Below are 21,066 nucleotides of genomic sequence, written 5' to 3'. Positions count from 1 at the left end.
ACGGTCATCTGGTGCTCTACCACTGGGCAGAGGGAGGGCAGGACTGCCTTTCGGGGTCCTGAACCCACCTTCCGGGTTCAAGATATTCTTGTGCATCAGCCTCCCAAGTAGCTGGGATTACAGGCACCTGCCACCACGCCTGACTAATTTTTGTATTTTTAGTAGAGACGGGGTTTCACCATGTTAGCCAGGCTGTCCTCAAAGGTGATCTGCCCGCCTTGGCCTCACAAAGTGCTGGGATTACAGGCGTGAGCCACTGCGCCCGGCCCTCGCTTCCAAAGATTTTTCATTGTTGTTCCCAGAAGAGGCTGTATACCCATTAAACAATAACTTTTGCTAGTATTTTGTTGAGGATTTTAGCATCAATTTTTGCATCATAAGGGATTGGTCTGCAGTTTTCTTTTCTGGACTGTAGTGTCCTTGTCTGGCTTTGGTATCAAGTAATGCCTCATAGAATGAGTTTGGAAGTGTTCCCTTCTCTTCAATTCTTGGAAGAGTTTGAGAAGAGGTGGTGGAAGTTCTTTTTTAAGTGGTAGAATTCACCAGTGAAGCCATCAGCTCCTGGGCTTTGTTAGGAGGTTTTTTTGTTTTTTGTTTTTTGTTTTTTTTGAGACAGAGTCTCGCTGTGTGGCCCAGGCTGGAGTGCAGTGGTGCTGTCTGGGCTCACTGCAACCTCTGCCTCCCAGGTTCAAGCGATTCTCCTGCCTCAGCCTCCTGAGTAGCTGGGATTACAGGCGTGCACCACCAGGAATCAGGAATTTAAAACCTCGTAACAACTAGGGCACGGTGGTTCATGCCTGTAATCTCAGCACTTTGGGAGGCCAAGGTGGGTGGATCACCTGAGGTCAGGAGTTCAAGACCAGCCTGGCCAGCGTGGTGAAACCCCATCTCTACTAAAAATACAAAAATTAGTGTGGTGGCGTGCGCCTGTAATCCCAGCTACTCGGGAGGCTAAGGCAGGAGAATCGCTTGAACCCAGGAGGTGGAAGTTGCAGTGAGTTTTGAGATCGCGCCACTGCACTTCAGCCTGGGCAACAAGAGCGAAACTCTGTCTCCAAAAAAAAAAAATACAAAAATTAGCCGGGCATGGTGGCATGCGCTTGTAGTCCCAGCTACTTGGGAGGCTGAGGCAGGAGAATCGCTTGAACCTGAGAGGCAGAGGTTTCAGTGAGCCGAGATCACACCACTCACTGCACTCCAGCCTGGGTGACAGAGCAAGATTCCATCTCAAAAAAAAAAAAAGTTCCTTTAGTGAAACTCTGTTTAGAGTAAATTTCCTGTTTTTGCTTATCTGAAAAGTATCTTAAATGTTCCTTCATTTTTGTAAGACAGTATTCTTAGGAACGCACATCTAGCCATTAAATGGCCGCCTCTCCACCCTTGGAATGTCTGCTGTCCGTGTCAGAGACCCGGTTGCTGACACTGCATGGTTGGCCCTTGGTCCGTCTGTTCTTCCTTCGTGTGCATTTCCACGGACTTGGTGGCTTAACAAGGCACAAAAGTGCGATGTTTTAGTTTTAGAGGTTGGAAGAGGAAAGGGTCTCCTTGGGCTAGGAATGAGGTGCTGGCAGGGCTGCAGGGCCATCCAGAGGCCCCGAGGGGAGCTCCCTGCCTCACCTTCTCCAGTGGCCTTGACTTGAGGCGTCCTTCCATCCTGGAAGCCAGCCCTGGATGGCCGAGTCCTCCTCATGTCACCTTACTCCAACACTGACTCTTCTGCCTCCACTTTCTACCTCTAAGGACACTTGTGATTACGTTGGGTTCCTCTGGAGAATCCAGAATAATCTACAGTCAGAGAACGAGCAGCCTTCATTCCCCCTGCTGTGTAATGTCACATAGTCTCTGTTAGAGGCCAGTATTGTGCCATCCACAGTAGGTATCTGACTTTTGTGCTCTGGTTACTTCTGAGACCTGTATCTTTAGTGGTTTTTATTTGCTGTGTGCATTTCTTTCTTTTTAACTTTTTATTTATTTATTTATTTATTTTTTTGAGACGGAGTCTCACTCTGTTGCCCAGACTGGAGTGCAGTGGTACAACCTCAGCTCACTGCAACCTTTGCCTCCCAAGTTCAAGCAATTGTCCTGCATCAGCCTCCCAAGTAGCTGGGATTACATGTGCCCACCACCATGCCCAGCTGATGTGTGTGTGTGTGTGTGTGTGTGTGTGTGTGTGTGTGTGTGTATGTGTGTATTTTTACTACAGACGGGGTTTCACCATGTTGGCCAGGCTGGTCTTGAACTCCTGGCCTCAAGTGATTTGCCTGCCTCATCCTCACAAAGTGCTGGGATTACATAAGGCCTGAGCCACCAGGCCTGGCCACTTTGTTTTATTTTATTTTATTTTATTTTATTTTATTTTATTTATTTTATTATTTTATTTTATATTTTATTTTATTTTATTCATTGTAGAGATAGTCTCTCACTATTTTGCCCAGGCTGGTCTCAAACTCCTGGCCTCAAGCGATCCTTCTGCCTCAGCCTCCCAAAGTGGATCCTCCTTGAAATTACAGGTGTGAGCCACCATGCCCAGCCTCTTTTTAACTTTTTATTAAAGTGTGATACACATAAGAAAATGTATATATTTGTACAATTAGGAGAATTGTCAACAAATTGAACACGTCTGTGTTACCAGCGCCCAGAACAAGAGATGGAATTCACCAGAGTCCCCGGGGTAACCACTTCTTACAGCATAGATTCAGTTTGCTTGTTTTTGTACTTTATGGAGAGGAATCATGCAGTGTGTACTCTTCTGTGTCTGACTTTCTTGGCTCAACCTGGTTGTGCGATTGATCTGTGTTGTTGCTGTAGTTCATACATTTGCATTGCTGTGTGGTATTCTGTTGTGTGAACATACCACAGTTTATTCTTTTCTCCTGTTGATGGGCATTTGGGTAGTTCCTAGTTTTTGGCTCTCACAAATGGAACTGCACTGAACGTTCTTGCATTTGTCTTTTGGAGCATTATGTTGGGCTGTACCTAGAAATGGGATTGTTATGTTGTGGGTATAGGCATAGTTTTCTTTTTGTTCATCCTACTTAGAAAACATTGTCCCAGCCAGGCACAGTGGCTCACACCTATAATCCCAGGACTCTGGGAGCCCAGGAGTTCAAGATCAGTCTGGGCAACATAAGGAGACTGTTTTCTACAAAAACTTAAGAAAAATTAGTCACACATGGTGGCACGCACCTTTGGTCCCAGCTATTTGGGAGGCTAGATGGGAGGATCACTTGAGCCTGGGAGGTTGAGGCTGCAGTGAGCTGAGATTGCACCACTGCACTCCAGCCTGGGCGGCAGAGCAAAAGGGAAAAAAAAAAAAAAAAGAAATATTTTCCCTGTTGAATGTATGGATTGCATTGGTGTCTCATGAAAATCTCTCAGCCATTACTATTAAAATATTGCCTCTCCGGAGGTTGCAGTGAGCCAAGATCGCGCCATTGCACTCCAGCCAGGGCAACAAGAGCAAAACTCCGTCTCAAAAACAAAAAAAAAGTATATATATATATATATATATATATATATATATATATATATATCCTCTCCTCCCACTATTTTCTTCAATTAGATATGTGACTGTTAGAGCATTTCACTTTATGTCTCAACCTCTCTTTTATATTTTCCATCTTCTGTCTGTATCACATTTGGGGTATTTTTTACATACCTATGTGTTCCAGGTCAGTATCTCTTTCTTTCAGCTCTGTGTAATCTGCTATTTAAACCATCCCATGAGTTTTTATTTTGACATTGACTTTTTGTTCATTTCTAAAAATTCTGTTTGGTCCTGTCTGATCATTGTCAATAGTTTCTTGTTGCTTGTTCATTGTTTGTTGCTGTCTTTTATTTATGTAAACATTTCATAACACTTATTTTTAGTTTGTGTCTAATAAGTCCAATACCTGCAGTTTCTAGAGGATTGAATTCTGGCTTCTGGCTTCTGCTGTCATTTATGGGTGGCTTTGCTCCATGTATGTTATGGTGATCTTTGATTGTGAGCTCATATTTGCTTGATGTTAATCTCTGGGAATATAAAGAGCCTTATATGGGATGCTATTGCTTTTGCAGAGAAGTGAGAAGGTGCTAATCTGGGACTGTCTGAACCTCCTTCCAGGGCCCTGTCTGGTGCAGGTGTCCACAGTGCAGCTTCTCCATTCTGCTAATAGCAGTGCTGACACATAGGCATTGGTTGCAAGGTCCCCCCAGCTTTGTGTTGCATAGTGCTCACGCGTTGGTTTCAGCTTCCAGGATTTTGTTTTGTTTGGAGATTCTTGCAGGTTTTCTTTTCTTTCCATGAGGACAGTCACAGAGGTTGCGATCAGCTTTGCGCAGGATCTAGTTGTTTGGTGGTCATGTGGGGGATGGGGTAGGGCACCCCTCAGCTTTCGGCCTTGCATCAACTTGTTCTCCATTCTAGAGCCAGAGTGATAGTTTAAAAACACAGAACTCTCCTGCTTGAAACCCTTTGCTGCCTTTAATTCCAGTGACTATTTATTTTTGTCTTTAGTTCCTCATGAGATAAAATGAAGGCATATGAAGAAGATACTTATGTTTACTATTATAAGTATAATACATAAAGCGGGCTGGGCGTGGTGGCTCACATCTGTGATCCCAGCACTTTGGGAGGCCTAGGTGAGAGGATCACCAGGAATTCGAGACCAGCCTGGGCAACCTATCGAGACCCCATCTCCACCACAACAAAAATTATCCAGGCGTGGTGGCGCATGCCTACTGTAGTCCCAGCTCCTGGGCCTGGGAGTTCAAGGCTGCAGTGAGCCATGATCGTGCCACAGTACTCCAGCCTGGGTGACAGAATGAGACCCCATCTCAAAGAAAAAACAAAAAAATACATGAAGTGAACATGGTGAGATCATGTGGCTTTCAGTATTTTCAGACTGAAAAAATAAGAAGCTAGTACCATATGGAGACCTATTTGGGGAATACACGTTAGCCTTACCAGTCAGTATTAAGAATGCATTCTCTGGGTAGCAAGTATGGGTCTTAAGCTACTTCACTGGTGATCTTTTTTGTTTTTTCACAGACAAGGTCTCACTATGTTGCCCAGGAGGGTCTCAAACTCCTGGGCTCAAGCAGTCTTCCTGCCTCAGCCTCCCCAGTAGCTGGGATTACAGATGCATGCCGCCACTCCTGGCTCCCATTAGTGATCTTCATTGGTAAATTGCCATCTTCATCTATCAAATCAATGGCATTACCCAAGCAGGGACTCCCTGAGTTGTCAGAGAACAAAGACGGCCCAGGCAGACTTGGTTCACATAGTGGCTGTCTATCCCTGCCTTTTCCCACTTTGAGATTCACCTAGCAGAGGTTTCCCATATATCTTGGCCTTCTGATTCCTGTGTTTCTTAGCTCCACACTGAGTTCACTGCCAGGGCATGAGTACCCTGCAGTACCTGAGGACTCACGCCCAGCACTGGCAACCAGGACACACGTTTGGTGAGAGGCCATAGATGCAGGAGCAGTTCAGCTATAAACTCAGCATAAGCAAAACCCAAGGTTCTGAGTGCATTTGTGACTTGATGGCGTGGCAGTGTAGAAGCTAAGAAAGTTCCGTTTTCTGTGGCTTGGCTCATGGGAGATGTAAGACGTTAACACCTGGTGCAGGAAGAGGGAAAGGAATGGTGTCTGGCGCCACCTCCAGGGACGGGGAGATGGGGACGCACAGTTCTCAGGACTCCCCGCTGCAGAGCCAGCCTCCGTGACCACATGTGGCTCCCCAAGTGCTCACCGGTCTTTTCTCAATTTTTACGCAGACTGGAGTTCCATAGACTTTCTGAAGAAAACACTTTGTTGAAAAACGATCTGGGAAGGGTTCGGCAAGAGCTTGAAGCTGCAGAAAGTACTCACGATGCACAGAGGTAAGGGCCACGCCCCTACCCAGACCTTCTGGGGGTGCGTTTTGCCCTCCGTAGAGTGACCTTATGCAGTCTCCATATAGACAGTGGGAAGTGTTCTCAGATTAGCCCTGCATTCCAGAAAACCCTAAACCATGAGCCTTGTTAACTTCTGAACGACTCGGCAGATGTGGGAGGCTCTGGCCTCCTTCCTCGTGTGGGCGGCACCTGAACGCCCCAGCTCCTTGGTGTGGGAAGTGAGGCAGAGTGCCCACAGCATGGTCGGGACTGCGAGCAGAGCCCTAGCACAGGCGCCGTTCACCCCACAGAGATGATGCACGTCGCACTTAGGGGTTGGGGGAGGCCACAACAGTGTCTGTAGGGGTCAGAGGTGCTCCTAGGATCCTCTCCTGATAACAGCTTCAGCTCTGCCTTCCTCAGAGGGTCATTGCTGGTTTATCAGTTTCAGTGAACAAGAGCTGGGGGAGGGGATGGGCGTGGGGAGGGTCAGGAACCTGAGCACTGAGGCAAGAGAGGATGGGGGTGGGGGCACCAGTGAGAGTCAGGGGACAGGGCAGTGGGCCGCCCACCAATGAGAGTCAAGACAGGGCAGGGGGCCACCAGTGAGAGTCAGGGGGGCAGGGCAGGGCGGCCACCAGTGAAAGTCGGGGGACAGGGCAAGGGGGTACTCACCAGTGAGAGTCGGGGGACAGGGCAGTGGGGCGCCCACCAGTGAGAGTTGGGACAGGGTAGGGGGGTGCCCACCAATGAGAGTCAGGGGGACAGGGCAGGCGGGCGCCCACCAGTGAGAGTCGGGGGACAGGGCAAGGGGACACTCACCAGTGAGAGTCGAGGGACAGGGCAGTGGGGCACCCACCAGTGAGAGTCAGGGGACAGGGCAGTGGGGCACCCACCAGTGAGAGTCAGGGGACAGGGCAGTGGGGCACCCACCAGTGAGAGTTGGGGGACAGGGCAGTGGGGCACCCACCAGTGAGAGTCGGGAGACAGGGCAAGGGGGGACTCACCAGTGAGAGTCAGGGGACAGGGCAGTGGGGCACCCACCAGTGAGAGTCAAGGGACAGGACAGTGGGGCACCCACCAGTGAGAGTCAAGGGACAGGACAGTGGGGCACCCACCAGTGAGAGTCGGGGGACAGGGCGGTGGGGCGCCCACCAGTGAGAGTTGGGACAGGGTAGGGGGGTGCCCACCAGTGAGAGTCAGGGGGACAGGGCAAGCGGGCGCCCACCAGTGAGAGTCGGGGGACAGGGCAGGGGGGCGCCTACCAGTGACAGTCAGGGGACAGGGCAGAGAGGCGCCCACCAGTGACAGGGGACAGGGCAGAGGGGCACCCACCAGTGAGAATTGGGGGACAGGGCAGGGGGGCGCCCACCAGTGAGAGTCAGGGGACAGGACAGAGGGGCACAGACCAGTGACAGGGGACAGGGCAGGGGGGTGCGCACCAGTGAGAGTCGGGGGACAGGGCAGGGCAGTGCCAACCAGTGAGAGTCGGGGGACAGGGCAGGGGGGTGCCCCCCAGTGACAGTCGGGGGACAGGGCAGGGGGGTGCCCACCAGTGAGAGTCAGGGGACAGGACAGGGGGGCACCCACCAGTGAGAGTCGGGGGACAGAGCAGGGAGGCCACCAGTGAGAGTCAGTGGGGACAGGGAGGCCACCAGTGAGAGTTGGGGGACCAGACGGGGGGCCACCCATCAGTGAGAGTCAAGGGACTGAGCAGGGGGGTGCCTGTCAGTGAGAGTTGGCGGGGACAGAGCAGGGGGCATCCATCAGCGAGAGTCAGGGGACAGAGCAGGAGTGTCCCCTCAGTGCAAGCTGGGGAAGGGCTGGGACTGAGGAAGGGAGAATGTGTGTTCTGGGGAGGGTGGCTTTCTGCTGTCACTACTGTAGCCATATCCAAGGACAATTGTTTGGCCTTTTTTTTTCCCAATTATGCATCTCAAGGTGAGCTTAGTTCTCATAGACAGTAATTCTGAAATGATGGAATTGCCATGGTGATTAAAGTAGCGAGTCCCAAGCAGGTACCCAGGGATTGCCCTTCCATGACAGCACTTCCGAAATCTCAAAGCTAGTTTTCCTTTAGAAACCATTTTTTCTCTGGTTTTCTTGAGTCTGTGAGGACCCTGCTGATGGCATACCTCCGGAGATGCAGGCTGTTTCGGTCTCTATTCACTCTGCTGAGTGTGAAGTGTTATGTGTTTTACAAAAGAAATATTCATGTATTTGATTGAGGAATGTCATGCAGGGTGTGCGTTCTTACAGTGCTGGCAGTGTAGATTACTAGAGGCTCTCTAGTAATCCGACAGTTTCACATTCCTAAAGTCTTCGTGGTTTGGGATAAACCATGGAAGACGGGATCGTCGTCTTCATTAGTAGTGGCAACAGCAGGGACTGAGAGGGGCTGGAGAATGCCAGGGGCAGGTGTGGGCGTCTCTGCTGTGGCTACAAACCCCCATGCTGCTCTTACCCTGGGTGCTGACCAGGAAAGAAGGCACTGGTTGGTCACAAGTGGTATCACTGTTAATTGTGCTTCTTCAACAGGAAGGAAATTGAGGTTTTAAAGAAAGACAAGGAAAAGGCCTGCTCTGAGATGGAGGTGCTCAACAGACAGGTGACGTATCGACGCCTGGCATGGAGCTCATGCCACCATTCCTTTTTTTCATTATTTTGAAATCATTTTAAACTTACAAAAGGAAGTAGAGAATATTCTTCTAAAAGACTTGACAGTGAGTTGCTGACTGGCCCCCAGGCCCCATCAAAGTCAGACACTAAACACGGCTGTGAAGACCCCTGCCCCAGTCAAATCTGCCGGTGGTCCCAAGGATGTTCAGAATCATGTGGCACGCAGTAGTTGGGACCACAGGCATCCCCTGCAGGGTCCCTTTGGTGTTTTGATCTAGAAACTGTGAGCAGCTTCTCATAGACGCTGGCAGGCAGGCACTGTCTGTGTTGTGAGTGCCTGAGGCTCTGCACTGGCCCGAGGCCCAGCTGCTTGTGGAGATGACCTGCCTGGGGAGCCGCACGCCAGCATGCTCAGCCCATCTTTTGTGTTTTTAGTAGAGACAGGGTCTCACTATGTTGCCAAGGCTGCTCTCAAACTCCTGGCCTCAAGCAATCCTCCAGCTTTGGCCTCCCAAAATGCTGGGATTATAGGTGTCAAACACTGCCTGGACACTCCCCAAATTTTGGGGGTTTTTTTTGAGACACATTATCACTCTGTCACCCAGGCTGGAGTGCAGTGGTGCGATCTTGGCTCACTGCAACCTCCACCTCCCAGGTTCAAGCAATTCTTCTGCCTCAGCCTCCAGGGTAGCTGGGATTGCAGGTGTGTACCACCATGCGTGGCTAATTTTTATATTATTAGTAGAGACAGGGTTTCACCATGTTGGCCAGGCCGGTCTCGAACTCCTGACCTCAAGCTATCCGCTGGCCTTGGCCTCCCAAATTGCTGGGATTATAGGTGTGAGCCACTGTACCCGGCTTACCCCAAAAATTTTACCATGAAAAACTTTAAACACAGGAAAGTTGAAACAATATAGAGTGATCATCCACATACATCCACAACATTAATGCAACTGTTATCCGCATTGCCACCTGCACTTTAGTTCTGTTCATATCTATATATTTCACGTGTGCATGTGTATGTGTGTGTTCTGAACCATTTGAAGACAAGTTACAGGCCGGGTGCAGTGCCTCATACCTATAATCCCTGCATTTTGGGAGGCCAAGGTGGGCGGATCACTTGAGCCCAGGAGTTCAAGACCAGCCTGGGCAACATGACAAAACCCCATCTCTACAAAAAAAAGAAAAATCAGCTGAGTATGCTGCCATGTGCCTATAGTCCCAGCTACTCAGGAGGTTGAGGTGGGAGGATGGCTTGAGCCTGGGAGGTTGAGGCTACAGTGAGTAGAGATCGTACCACTGCACTCCAGCCTGACAGAGTGAGACCCTGTCTCTCATAATAATAATAATAATAGAAAATAAGTTCCAGATGTCATGATACTCCACTTCTCAATATTTCAACAGGCATCTCTTAAAAGGAAGTGCATCTCCCGCCTCGCCACACTGAAGGAGTGCTGTCACACTTAAGAAACTTAGCAGTAGTTACCTCATATCAGTATTCAGACCATATTCTCATTTTTTCAGTTATTAAAAAGTGTCCTGCACAACAAGGTTGCTGGCAGTAGGGTGCAGCTGGGGGTGCCACATTGTGTGTAACTATGACTCTGTTCAGCCATGTTTAGCTATCAGATCAACTTGCTGGCATAAACCAGCCACTTGAGTGCATTCATGGCACCTGTGGGTCAGGCATTCAGACAAACACAGCGTTGACGGCCGTCCCTGCTCTGTGATGTGGGGTCTCGGCTGGGAAGGCTGGACAGTTGGGGTGACCTAATGGCCAGGGTTGGAGTCGTCGGGGACCCCTTCTGCTTGTGTCTGTCTGGGGCCTCTCCTCATGGGGCTGGACCTGGAAGGAGTGTCGTGGGGGGTGTCAGGGAGCTAGTGTTCCAGGGCAGCTGGTGGGAGGCGCATGGCTCCCAAGCCCTCCTCGGAAGTCACACTCTACGTTATTCCCACTGAGTCCCTGGAGCCGCGGGGGAGGCTTCTCTGATGGGCAAGTGTTCAGGTCACATTTCAGAAGAGGATGTGGGATGGAAGAGGCTTCTGGAGGCTTCTTTGGACAACACATCCCCTGCATGGTCCCTTTGGTGTTTTGATCTAGAAGACCTGTTTTTCCCCATGACACTGGCTTTTGGAAGAGCCCCAGTAGTGGTCCCGTGGGCCATCCCACATTCTGGATCTGTCCAGTTGTTTTCTGAGAGTGTAGGCTACTCTGGTCGTATGTCACTTGTCTGCCTTGTAAACTGGAAATTAGGCCTAAAGGCTGGAGCAGATGCAGAGTGAACATATTTTGACACAGATGTCATTTGTTTTAACACACACCCAGGAGACAGCTGCTGACATCTCATGTTGGCTTCTGCAGTGAAAGCCAGATGAATGCAAGTTCAAAATTAAGAGGTGGCCAGCGTGAACGCCACCAGGAACAGATAGCATCTCTGCCTCCTGATGCAGCTCCCTGCACAGTGTCTGCCCAGGAACTTGTCACTCGAGTCACAAGGAAGCACCAGACAAACCCCAAATGGGAGGGGGTGGAACTGTATTTGTCAAAAAATGTCAAAGTCATGAGACACAGAAGCTGAGGAGACATTCCACATTTGAGGAGGCTGAAACAGCTGGACAGGGCCCAGCTGATCCTGTGCCGGGAAGGATGCTGCCAGGCTCGTTGACAAAATGAAGTGTGGGGACATCAAGGCCACTGTCCTGAAGCAGTAGCTGCACAGCAGCCGCGTGAGAGCTGCTGTCCCCGGGAGGCAGGCGGCTGTGGAGAAGGGAAGACATCATGTGTGCGCCTGTGTGTGTAGGGGGCAAAGCAGATTGGGGGAGTGTTGTCGGCTAGGAGCTGGGATGGAAGGCAGGTTGGTTTCCCTGGTGATGTTCTAGTCTTGCAACTGTTCAAGTCTGAAATTATTTCCAAATGAAGAGTTTGTTGTGTGTTTGTTTGTTTGTTTGTTTGTTTGTTTTGAGATGGAGTCTTGTTCTGTCACTCTGGCTGGAGTGCAGTGGTGCAATATCAGCTCACTGCAACCTCTGCCTCCCGGGTTCAATCGATTCTCCTGCCTCAGCCTCCCAAGTAGCTGGGACTACAGGCATGTGCCACCAAGCCCGGCTAATTTTTGTATTTTTAGTGGAGATGGGGTTTCGCCATGTTGGCCAGGCTGGTCTCAAACTCCTGACCTCAGGTGATCCTTCCACTTCGGCCTCCCAAAGCACTGGTATTACAGGCATGAGCCACCACGCCCAGCCACCAAATGAAGAGTTTAAATGTTAAAGGTGAATAGAAGAAAATCCACTATTGTGTTTATCTCAAGAACTGAAGGAAGATTCCATTTCTACTCATGAAATCAAGGCTGTCTTTAGAGGACAAGGTGAATGTGTGTCAGTATTAAAACAATTCTAATTTTCACAATAAAATGTCATAAAACACATGAGCTCTATACCATACACAACTGCCACACGCTTATGTCGTGGTGGAAGCTTCTCTTAACCTGAGGCTTGAGGTTCTAGGGAAGGGATGAGGTGAGGTTAATTTGCAAGGAATTGCATGAGAAAAATGCGTGGACTCCCTAATCTTGAGTAAATCCAAATGGAAAAACGTCCCAGTTTTCTTACATGCCTGTAAAACCTATAGAAGCAAAGGCAGTGGTTGTGGGCGTCACTCTGGGAAGGTGACGTGTGCGTGGTCGATTGTGCTGAGAGCGGGTCAGAGGACATCACTCCAAACCCCCAGGAGCTGCGGTGGGAAAAAGCAAGTAAGCAGAAATATGGTTGCATGAAGATGTTCCTGACAGGTGGCTGCAGACAGCAGAGCCTCCGTGGTCCAGACCGCAGGGCCACTTTCCTGCCGCTGTCACTGCACTGCGCCCTCACAGGTTCCCCTCATGAACGTTTGCTGAAATCCTTTGTCTGTGGGAGGTGCTATTGAGAAAAAGCAAAACATACAATTTGATGAACCTATGTACCCTGCCAAGAGCTACGCTTGTGTGTTCAATGACTGAGATCAGAGGAGACTTAAGAGATTCATGTACCTCAAGTTTAAATAGGTTGCTTTTTTGTTAAAATTGCCATATATTTTTAAATATATTAAAATAATCGTGGAGGAAATGAGAAAAACGTGAAAGGTCTTCCAAACAGTGGTTTGGACGGTCATGGCATATACTCCCTTCTGGTGGCCTAGATGTGTGTGTGTTTTTCCTAGGGGCTGGAGCAGGGCTTTCTGTCCTCGGCACTGGTGACGTTTGGGGCCAAATCATCTGTGTTGTAGGGTGTCAAGTGCCCCCATGCCTCCATCTCCAGCTGTGATTACCAAAAATACCTGGAGACATTGCCAGACATTTCCTCAGGAGCAAAGTTGTACCTGGTTGAGAGCAATTACAATGATATGAATTGAGCTGCTGGCTTAAAAGTATTTTAGGGGGCAAGGTGGGGCTGGGCTCAGTGGCCCACACCTATAATCCCAGCACTTTGGGAGGCTGAGATGGGAAGATCCCTTGAGGCTAGGAGTTCGGGACCAGCTTTGGCAACACAGCTAGAGACCCTGTCTCGACCAAAAAACAAAACTAGGTGGGAGTGGTGACGTGTGCCTGTGGTCCCAGCTACTTGGGAGGCTGAGGTGGGAGGATCGCCTGAGCCTAGGAGGTCACGGCTGCAGTGAACCATGAATGTGCCACCGCACTCCAGCCAGGGCAACAGAGCGAGAGCCTGTCTTGAAAAACAAAACAAAACAAAACAAAACAAATGACTACTTAATAAAAATATAGCCAATGATGGGCAAATGTATATATAACATGAAAATTAAAAACATTTTTTTCTTATGTATTTAAAAACTTTTTCCCCCAGAATCAGAACTACAAGGATCAATTATCCCAGCTCAATGTCAGGGTTCTTCAACTGGGACAGGAGGCTTCTACCCACCAGGCCCAAAACGAGGAGCATCGTGTGACCATTCAGATGTTAACACAGAGCCTGGAGGAGGTGGTTCGCAGTGGGCAGCAGCAGGTGGGTGGCCTCAGCCGCAGGGAGCTGAGCTGGAGGCTGGGAGCTCAGGGTGGGGAGGCGGCTGCAAATAGGTCAGGACACGCGCTGAGGAGCCTGGAGGGAAGTGAGGGACTTCCCAAGCATGCCTTGGAGAAGTAGGTGGACTGTGCTGTGTTGGCAAATCCCAGTATCTAAAGAAAATAGCAGAATAGCTTTATATGCTGCTGACAGAGGAGTGAATTGGTACAAAGTTCCCCGAGGGCAGTTTGGCAAAATACACACTTAGAGGCTGAAGAAAGTCCACATGCCTTGACTTCACGATTCCGATGGGGATGTTCCCGAGAGCCTTGTGGAAGGATGCAGCTGCAGCATTTTCCTTGCTGTGCTGTTTATAATAGCAAAGCAGAACTGAAATCGGCCGAGTCACCAACAGAAGCTGAGGGAGTCACTGGATCACAGCACAGCCACTGAAAACCATGTTTTCAAATCATAACTAATGCCCCAGGAAACGCTCCCACTGCAGTGAGGAGAAGGCACTTCCTGCAGTGCGTGGCGCACCTGACACTGTCTCACCAGGGAGATGCGTGTGTGTAGAGGAGGGGCCGGGGAGTGACTGCAGGACACAGGGCCGGCCTTGGTTGGTGGGTTCACAGGGATTTAAATTTTGTACTTTTTTTCTTTTCTGTAATTTTCTGAGGTTTTTGCACGAATTACATACCAGACTCTTCAGATACTTCTTGACTTGTGCAATTGATTTTTTAAAAACAGAGTGACCAAATCCAAAAACTTAGAGTTGAACTTGAATGCCTGAATCAGGAACATCAGAGCCTGCAGCTGCCATGGTCAGAGCTGACCCAGACCCTTGAGGAAAGTCAAGACCAGGTGGGTGTGAGCGATGGCTGGAGGCACTGGGTCCAGTCCCACCTGGGAGCAGCATCACCGCAGTGCCAACGGTGTTGCCAGGCCTCCTCCAGCCCAAAGAAGTAGTTGCGCTGCTGGGCACAGCTGTCCAGGTGCTTACCGGGCCAGGACCGAAGCTGCTCCCAGTGCAGGGTTGGTTTGACTGTCAGCAAGCCCCGTGAAGAGTAGTGACTGTTTACTCCCGAGGGAAGGAGTGCGGGCACCATGCCTGTGGGTGAGCCCTCCACAGAATGGAGGAGCCAGAGGCAAGCCTGGGGACTGTGTCGTCAGAACCAAGGCAGCAGGCTCCAGCCCTGGGAGTGGGGTGACATGGGCACTCATGGGCATGCATGACACTGGCCTCTGTACACGCCTCCGGGTGCCACATCTGCTGGCCCCGCAGGTGAGAGGCGCGGGAGGTGCAGACACAGGAGGCTGGGCTATGGTGGCAGGGGCTCGTGGTCCGGGACAGACAGGTGTGTGCAGGGGCAGCCGAGCAGGGGCCTCAGGGAGGGGAGCCGGCTCAGGGGATGCTTGTGGAGGGGGTGGCTCAAGGGAGAGGAGAAGAGCAGGTGTGTAACGGCCAAAGGTGCCCAGAGGGCGAGTGCCCAGTGTGGACACAGGTGCGGGGCACACTTGGAAGCTTGGCTACAGAGAGGAAAGGGGGCTGTGGGAAAGGGTCTCTCCCCACCTGCCTGTGAGGCTCGGCTGAGCCTCTGCACCTGGTCCCCCCCGGCGCTGGCCCTGGCGCCCTGTGCAGAGGCTCCCCCTAGACGTCCTGAGGCACAGAGGGGTCAGCTGGGCATGGACCCCAGAGCTTTCTGAGGCGCTGTTGGGGCTCCCATAGGCTCTTGGCCTTGCAGCTACAGGCTGTCAGTTTTCCAGAGGTGCTCTGCCTATTTGAGGCACCCTTCTCTACTTTTGAGTCTAAAAGGAACCCTGGAAAATTGCCTGGGCCAGTTCGAGTCCTTTGAGGTGAGGAGTAAGGCCACCTGAAAAGGCCAGCACTTCCTCAGCACCTGGCGCTGGGAGGCACCGCTGGGGCCAAGGGAGAGCATTCCACACCCCTGGGGCCACGCCTGCCACCAGCCTCTCAGTTGGGAAGCACCTCACCAAGTCTGTCCTTGCAGCCATGTGGGTCACCCCTTCTTCCTCGTGATTTAGAGGAAGACGCTCCCCCAAAGCACGTGGCTTCCAGTCAGCATCAGGAAGCTGGGGGCTTCCAGGGTAGCTCAGGACACTCTGGAAAAGGCAGATGGGGCTCCCTAAGAGTGGCCACGAGAGGCTGGGCCTGAAGCTGATGTGGTTGCCGTTTCCATGTGGGAGGGAAGCTAGGGCAGTCACTGTCATGCCCATGTGTGGTTCAGGAGGAAGGCCCCAGAGGCCAGAGCAGACAAGAGGGATGGGGCCTCGTAGAGGAGCTCAGAGGGCGGAGGGTCTCCCAGGGGAGCTCAGAGGGCAAAGGGATGGGGACTCACAGGGCCCTCTCCACGGGAAGGACAGGAAGGGTGGCTGCACTCAGGATGGGAGATGATGCCCCATCTGCCGCTCTGCCTCACTCCAGCACCCAGAACACAAATGTCCTTGTTTCCAGTGCTCCCCTGGGGACGTCTTTCCCTGTCCCTGTGACTGTCAAGGTCTGTAGATGTGGCCCGTCTCGCGTTGCCAAGGAAGGAGATGAAGAGGACTGGATGGCTCTCCATTCAGTAGATGTTTACAGGCTGCCCACCATGGGCAGAGATCCCCCTTGGGCTGGACCCTGGCCATGCTGTGGAGCGGCTTAATTAGTGGGGGTTCGGTCCCAGGATGGCTGTGGGGGGTGGTGCAGTCCAAGGACCTGCAAGCATCAGAGCCCAGGGAGTTGGGGTGCCGGGCCAGAGCCTTCCTGGGTGGGTAGATGTGCTTGATGCGTGGGAGTCCCGCAGGCCTGGGCGGCGGCAGCCAGAGTGACCGTCTTGAGACGAGCCTTCGGGAGAAGGCTGCGTTTGGTGGAGATGCTATTTAGAACTGGTTCTTCCCTCCTTTTCTGTCTCAAACCATAAGCTGCCTTCCAGGGCCTGGAAAATGTGGGGTGCAGGTGTGTCTCTCTGGGGTGACCCCCGTCCTGAAGAAGGGTGAGCTTTACAGTGATGACCTGGCCCCCCCAAGACAGGCCCCCAGCTCGGCTGAGTCAGTGCAGGGACTACTGAAGGGAAGCCGGACCTGGCAGTGTGGCGCAGGGTGTTGCCTTCCCTCTTCCTCCACCATGTGGTGATGTCAGGCCCAGCCCAAATATGACCCCGATGGAGCGTGCGTGATTCCCACTCCGTCTTGGGGTCTCAGGTGAGTAAGGGGTGGCGTGGCCAGTTCTTATAGGGTGCCAAAGAAATCCTGGTGAAGCCTCCAGTCAACTGGATGTAAATTGTATTTGGATCTTGCTTCGAGCTGCTTCATTAAAGTGGCTGGCATAGTGGTGCACAGTTTACTGTAACAGCTCAGCCCACCTCCAGCAGACAGTGCCATCCAGGAAACCAGGCGCTGCCAGGAATTCCAGCCCTGGCCCCACCTTCCCTTCAGCAGTCCGTGTTGTCTGGGTAGTCTGTGGCCAGTGTAGCCCTGTTGCAGAGTGAGGTCTCCGCTGAAAGGAGAACTGGCGTGGTCGTTGTTTGAAAAGAATCAGGCCCCAGCAAGGTTCACTGGAAGCTAACACTGGACGCAGCAGAGTCTGGGTCTGACAGGAGGTCAGCGTCACCATTTTGAGGGTGATGGACATGTTTTCTGCACTCTAGCACTGTGTGGAAGCGCTGGCTGACAGCAGCCTGGCTGTCCGAATTCCAAAGAAATGGGCTCCTTCTAAATATTCAGGTGCTGCTGCATACTCGGGAGCACACGCTTTCCTTGCCCTTGCAGGTGGGGGTGTCCTTGGATGGAGAGGGTGCTCCTCTGTGCCGCGTCTCAGCAGCCCCACCAGAGCTGTCTCCCCTTCCCCATGCAGGTGCAGGGAGCTCACCTGAGGCTGAGGCAGGCCCAGGCCCAGCACTTGCAGGAGGTCCGGCTGGTGCCCCAGGACCGTGTGGCCGAGCTGCATCGCCTGCTCAGCCTTCAGGGAGAGCAGGCCAGGAGGCGCCTGGATGCACAGCGGGTAAGTGGGGATGCAGCGAGAGATGGCTGACGAGATGAGGAGGAGGGTGAGGCGGGCCCACCGGTCCTCAGTTACCCAGAAGCTGCACAACTGTGAATACATGAGTCACGTATGTAGCATGTCAGATGGTAAGGAAGGCTGTAGGGAGAGAGGCAGTGTGGTTTTAAACAGGGTGGCCAGACAAGGCCTCACAGGTGGCCCCTGAGATGGTGAGACCTGAATGGGGTGAAGGAGCGGTGGCGCCATGTGGCAGGGGAGCAGCAGAGGCCCTGGGGTAGGGGGTATTTGGCATGTTCCAGGGGAACAGGGACCAGAGGCCGAGGGCAGAGAGCAGAGGGTGACAGATTGGGCCCGGCAGGTGCCGTGGGCAGTGCAGGTGGTGGGAGATGGGAGACAGTAGCTCGGAGCACAGACTGTGGAGGGTGGGATCCCGCCCACTACCTCCCAGCTGAGTGAACTTGGGCAAGTGAACCTCTCTGTGCCTCAGTTTCCTCATCTGTAAAGTCCTGCTAGCAGTAGTGTCCACCTAAAAGGCTTATTGGGAGGCATCAATGGGTTGGCGACTTTAAAGCACTTGAAGGGTCCCCAGCACAGCTGTGCCCTATGCAGGAGTTTAATTCAAAAGTCTGAGAGAATAACTCACTCCTGAAATTCCCAACATAGTTCATAGTTCATCAGGGACAGACTTCAGGAGAGATCAGGAACCAGAGGGCAGGGGACACCCTCATGAGAAAGGAATTGGCGCACGACTTGAAAAGTGGGTAACATTTGATGTTTGTAAAGTGTAAGTTCTAATGAAGAACAACCTTGTAACATCACACAAAGGGGTCAAGCTAAAGTTAAGTGATGCTACATTATTGACAAAGTTAAGGAGAATCCCCCTAGAAGAATACACTAACACAGCGAGGGAAGCTCGCTTTGGAGTTATTTATGGTTAAAATCTTAGGACCAGTTCTCTGAGGACAAATGAGTCTGCTGATTCTCCCTGAACTGCAAAGAGAAAGGAAAGCTGTGTGGTTTGGGCCAGAACATATTTTTGTTTTGTTTTGTTTTGTTTTTTGAGACAGAGTCTGACTCTGTTGCCAGGCTGGAGTGCAGTGGCGTAATCTTGGCTTACTGCAACCTTCGCCTCCTGTGTTCAAGCAATTCCCCTCCCTCAGCCTCCTGAGTAGCTGGGACTACAGGCACGCATCACCATGCCCAGCTAATTTTTTGTATTTTAGTAGAGATGGGGTTTCACCGTGTTGGCCAGGATGGTCTTGATCTCCTGACCTCGTGATCCACCCGCCTCGGTCTCCCAAAGTGCTGGGATTATAGGTGTGAGCCACTGCGCCCGGCCCTGGGCCAGAACATTTTTAAACCCTTGCTCTGGACAGATGAAAGGTTACCCACAGTCACTGTCAGATGTGTACATTTGAGCTGATTTCCATTTTATGTATTTATTTATTTTTGAGATAGAGTCTTACTCTGTCACCCAGGCTGGAGTGCAATGGTGCGATCTCGGCTCACTGCAGCCTCCACCTCCTGGGTTCAAGCAATTCTCCTGCCTCAGCCTCCTGAGTAGCTGGGACTACAGGTGCCTGCCACCATGCCTGGTTAATTTTTTGTATTTTTGGTAGAGACGGGATTTCACCATGCTGGCCAGGCTGGTCCTGAACTCCTGACCTCAGGTGATCTACCCGCCTTGGCCTCCCAAAGTGCTGGGATTACAGGTGTAAACCACCTCACTAGGCCACTAATTTCCATTTTAAAATAAATAGCCTTGAGCTGATTCTTTTTAAAATGTAAAATATTGCCTGTAACCTTTTTGTTTTTGTTTTTTGTGTTTTTTTTTTGAGACGGAGTCTTGCTCTGTCACCCAGACTGGAGTGCAATGGCACAATCTTGGCTCACTGCAACCTCCGCCTCCTGGGTTCAAGCAATTATTCTGCCTCGGCCTCCCGAGTAGCTGGGACTACAGGCGCCCGCTACCATGCCCGGCTGATTTTTTGTATTTTAGTAGAGATAGGGTTTCACTGTGCTGCCCAGGCTGGTCTCGAACTCCTGAGCTCAGGTAATCCGCCCGCCTCAGACTCCCAAAGTGCTAGGATTACAGTTGTGAACCACTGCACCTGGCTTTTTTTTTTTTTTTTTTTTTTTTTGAGATGGAGTCTCACTCTGTCACCAGGCTGGAATGCAGTGGTGCTATTTCGGCTCACAGCAACCTCTGCCTCTTGGGTTCAAGTGATTCTCCTGCCTCAGCCTCCCAAGTAGCTGGGACTACAGGTGCACGCTACCACGCCCAGCTAATTTTTCTTTTTTTTTTGAGACTGAGTCTTGCTCTGTCACCTAGGCTGGAGTGCCACTGCAACCTCCACCTCCTGGGTTCAAGTGATTCTCCTGCCTCAGCCTCCCAAGTAGCTGGGATTACAGGTACGCACCACCACACACGGCTAATTTTTCTATTTTTTTTAGTAGAGATGGGGTTTCACCATGTTGGCCAGGTTGGTCTCAAACTCCTGACCTCAGGTGATCCGCCCGCCTCGGCCTCCCAAAGTGCTGGGATTAGAGGCGTGAGCCACCATGCCCGGCCACCTGCAACCTTCTTTTATGGCAGGAAGAACATGAGAAACAGCTGAAAGCCACAGAAGAGCGGGTGGAAGAGGCGGAGATGATTCTGAAGAATATGGAAATGCTCCTCCAAGAGAAAGTGGATAAGCTGAAGGAGCAGGTGAGTGATGGGCGCTGCTGCTTTCGTGTTCACGTCCTCTTCTGAACGCTCTCCACTTTTATGGGTGTGCAGGTAGCTAATACAGGAAAAGGCTGTCTTGTCACAGAATTCCAGGGAACTAAATGTATACCCTACACTGCAGGTGCACATTCATTTATTTTCCTCCGGGAATGGTTTTAAGATCTGTCCTTTGGGTGTTCACATACACTCAGAAAGGACTCATCCGTTCATTTGTTCATGTAGTCATTCAGGCATCCCCAAGCACCTCTGGTCTAAGCTTTCCCAGGTAGACCTGAGATGAGCAGGGCTGAGCCTGCATCCCAGACCTGACCCTCTGGAGACAGAGGCAGATGCTTCCATAGAGCATACATGACCTCGGGCCATGATGAGTGCTCTGAAAATGAGAGAATAGAGGTGGAAGGAGCCGGTGGGGTGGTCAAGGCCACTTTGAAGAGCCAGCATTTGGTCAGATGCCCAGTGACCAGCACAGGAACGTCCAGCTGTGTCCCCAGCAGAGGCCAGGTGGCATTTGGAAGGCTCAGTGGGTGGGAGATGCACACATCTCCTCGTGTCTGGGGGACTCCGAGGAGGGTGCATTCCAGGCAGCGGACAGCCATGGAGGAGGCCGCCATGGCTGGTGTGAACTGGTAGGGCTCAGGTAGGCAGTGCCTGTCGTGTGTATCCTAGAAGCCAAGGTCAGGGGTTTGGGTTTTATCATAATGGCAGTTAGAAGGCATAGGGAGATTTTAAGTAAAAGCATGACAGGATCTATCTTTTAAAAGAAACCATACTAGGGAAAAAGTCACTTGGGCTACTGTAAGGAGCAAAGACCAAAAATGAGGTGCCATAACTCACCTGGTCTGTAGATGTTCGAAGTCCAA

At 51.4% G+C, this 21,066-nt stretch overlaps 1 protein-coding gene across 31 annotated transcripts in view, besides 1 other annotated feature; it reads left to right on the top strand.

Moving 5' to 3' along the window:
- Positions 1-21,066, top strand: part of NINL (ninein like) — a 132,835-nt gene that overhangs the window by 109,674 nt on the left and 2,095 nt on the right. For 29 of the 31 annotated variants that reach the window (NM_001318226.2, NM_025176.6, XM_047440021.1 and 26 more), the window contains 6 exons: positions 5,763-5,867; positions 8,400-8,469; positions 13,317-13,475; positions 14,223-14,336; positions 17,329-17,475; positions 20,072-20,185. In NM_001318226.2, coding sequence (NP_001305155.1) covers positions 5,763-5,867; positions 8,400-8,469; positions 13,317-13,475; positions 14,223-14,336; positions 17,329-17,475; positions 20,072-20,185 — 709 coding nt within the window. Of the gene's footprint in view, positions 1-5,762; positions 5,868-8,399; positions 8,470-10,806; positions 11,336-13,316; positions 13,476-14,222; positions 14,337-17,328; positions 17,476-20,071; positions 20,186-21,066 lie in introns of those variants that run through there. The other 2 variants (XR_007067446.1, XR_007067445.1) reach the window with 1 other exon arrangement.
- Positions 5,495-5,544: an enhancer, noted in NCBI's record as "active region_17670". NCBI's record gives its function as "activates an Ori minimal core promoter by ATAC-STARR-seq in GM12878 lymphoblastoid cells {active_cell/tissue: GM12878}" and the evidence as "EXISTENCE:reporter gene assay evidence [ECO:0000049][PMID:35858748]".

This window comes from Homo sapiens, chromosome 20 (genome assembly GCF_000001405.40).
Source record: "Homo sapiens chromosome 20, GRCh38.p14 Primary Assembly".
Taxonomy (NCBI): domain Eukaryota; kingdom Metazoa; phylum Chordata; class Mammalia; order Primates; family Hominidae; genus Homo; species Homo sapiens.
This window is presented reverse-complemented; position numbering and strand designations above follow the sequence as displayed.